Source organism: Homo sapiens, chromosome 6 (assembly GCF_000001405.40).
Source record: "Homo sapiens chromosome 6, GRCh38.p14 Primary Assembly".
Classification (NCBI taxonomy): domain Eukaryota; kingdom Metazoa; phylum Chordata; class Mammalia; order Primates; family Hominidae; genus Homo; species Homo sapiens.
Window position 1 is genome coordinate 41,903,155 of NC_000006.12, and position 2,199 is coordinate 41,905,353.

A 2,199-nucleotide genomic window follows, 5' to 3' on the forward strand; every position below is an offset into this window, starting at 1 on the left:
TAAAATGGGAATAATCACGTCCTTTTCCCCTTAATTTATAAAAATAGCCCTCAACTTTCACTTTCATACACAAACATTTATATCCTAAAGTACTCCTGAAAGCCCCACTCAGAAATGCACACAAGAGCTGGATAACATATGGGTCCTTCCCACAAGTCATCAATTTATTTTTGGCAACTTTGCTAGTGGAGCCGTATTTCTTAAATTATTTAAGAAATGTAGGCTGGGCACGGTGGCTCATGCCTGTAGTCCTAGCACTTTGGGAGGCCGAGGCGGGCAGATCATGAGGTCAAGAGATCGAGACCATCCTGGCCAACATGGTGAGACCCCATTTCTACTAAAAATACAAAAATTAGGCCGGGCGCGGTGGCTCATGCCTGTAATCCCAGCACTTTGGGAGGCTGAGGCGGGCAGATCACAAGGTCAGGAGATCGAGAACATCCTGGCTAACACGCTGAAACCGTCTTTACTAAAAATACAAAAAATTAGCCGGGCGTGGTGGCAGGCGCCTGTAGTCCCAGCTACTCGGGAGGCTGAGGCAGGAGAATGGCTAAACCCGGGAGGCAGAGCTTGCAGTGAGCCGAGATCGTGCCACTGCACTCCAGCCTGGGCGACAGAGCGAGACTCCGTCTCAAAAAATAAAAAAATAAAAATACAAAAAATGCTAGGCGCGGTGGCTCACACCTATAATCCCAGCACTTTGGGAGGCCGAGGCGGGCGGATCATGAGGTCAGGAGATCGAGACCATCCTGGCTAACACAGTGAAACCCCGTCTCTACTAAAAATACAAGAAAAAATTAGCCAGGCATGATGGCACGCGCCTGTAGTCCCAGTTACTCAGGAGGCTGACGCAGGAGAATGGTGTGAACCCGGGAGGCCGAGCTTGCAGTAACACGAGATCGCGCCACTGCACTCCAGCCTGGGTGACAGAGCAAGACTCTGTCTCAAAAAAAAAAAGAAAATGGAAAAATACAAAAATTAGCTGGGTGTGGTGGCGTGCACCTGTAGTCCCGGCTACTCGGGAGGCCGAGGGAGAAGAATCACTTGAACCTGGGAGGAGAAGGCTGCAGTGAGCTGAGATTGAGCCACTGCACTACAGCCTGGTGACAGAGCAAGACTCTGTCTCAAAAAAAAAAAAAAAAAAAAAATGTATTACATTACCTGCTTCTTTTAGTGACACATTTCCTTTAATTGACACAAAGGAAAAAGTACCCAAGTGGCAGTTCTTAAATCTGGTGTTCTCTAGACTTAAAGCTGGTCGAATGTGTGCTTAAATGTGAAGGAAAAGAACAAAACTGAAAAACGCTGGAAATTTAGGCCAAGACTGTGCCTAAAAGGCAAAGTGGGCCAGGCACAGTGGCTCACGCTTGTAATCCCAGTACTTTGGGAGACTGAGGCAGGTGGATCACGTGAGGTCAGGAGTTTGAGACCAGCCTGGCCAACATGACGAAACCCCATCTCTACTAAAAATACAAAAAATTAGCCGGGTGTGGTGGTGGGCGCCTCTAATCCCAGCTATTCGGGAGGCTGAGGCATGAGAATTGCTTGAATCCGGGAAGCGGAGTTCGCAGTGAGCCGAGATTGCGCCGCTGCGCTCCAGCCTAGGTAACAAGAATGAAACTCCATTGCAAAAAAATAAAATAAAATAAGGGTCAGGCATGGTGGCTCACGCCTGTAATCCCAGCACTTTGGGAGGCTGAAGCAGGTGGATCACCTGAGGTCAGGAGTTCGAGACCAGCCTGACCAACATGGAGAAAGCCCATCTCTACTAAAAGTACAAAATTAACTGCACATGCCTGTAATCCCAGCTACTCGGGAGGCTGAGGCAGGAGAATCGCTTGAACCCAGGAAGCGGAGGTTGTGGTGAGCCAAGATTGTACCATTGCACTCTAGCCTGGGCAACAAGAGCAAAACTCCATCTCAAAAGTAATAATAATAATAAAAAAACAAAATAAAAGCCAAGTGTAGTTAGGGATTTTATACTGCTTTTTAGCTTTTAGGGAACAGAGTCCCTCCTTATGATGCATAAGTCTAGAGAGTCTATATTTACCACGATCAACTTCTGGAGATTTTCAGGAAATGCATTGTGTTCAAAATGCTGCCTATGCATTGTTTCATTCCATAAAAGCTGCAGCCTACAGAAAAATACAAATAAATAAACCTGGACGAGAGCAAATGTAAATCAGGAGGCCAAAAAGG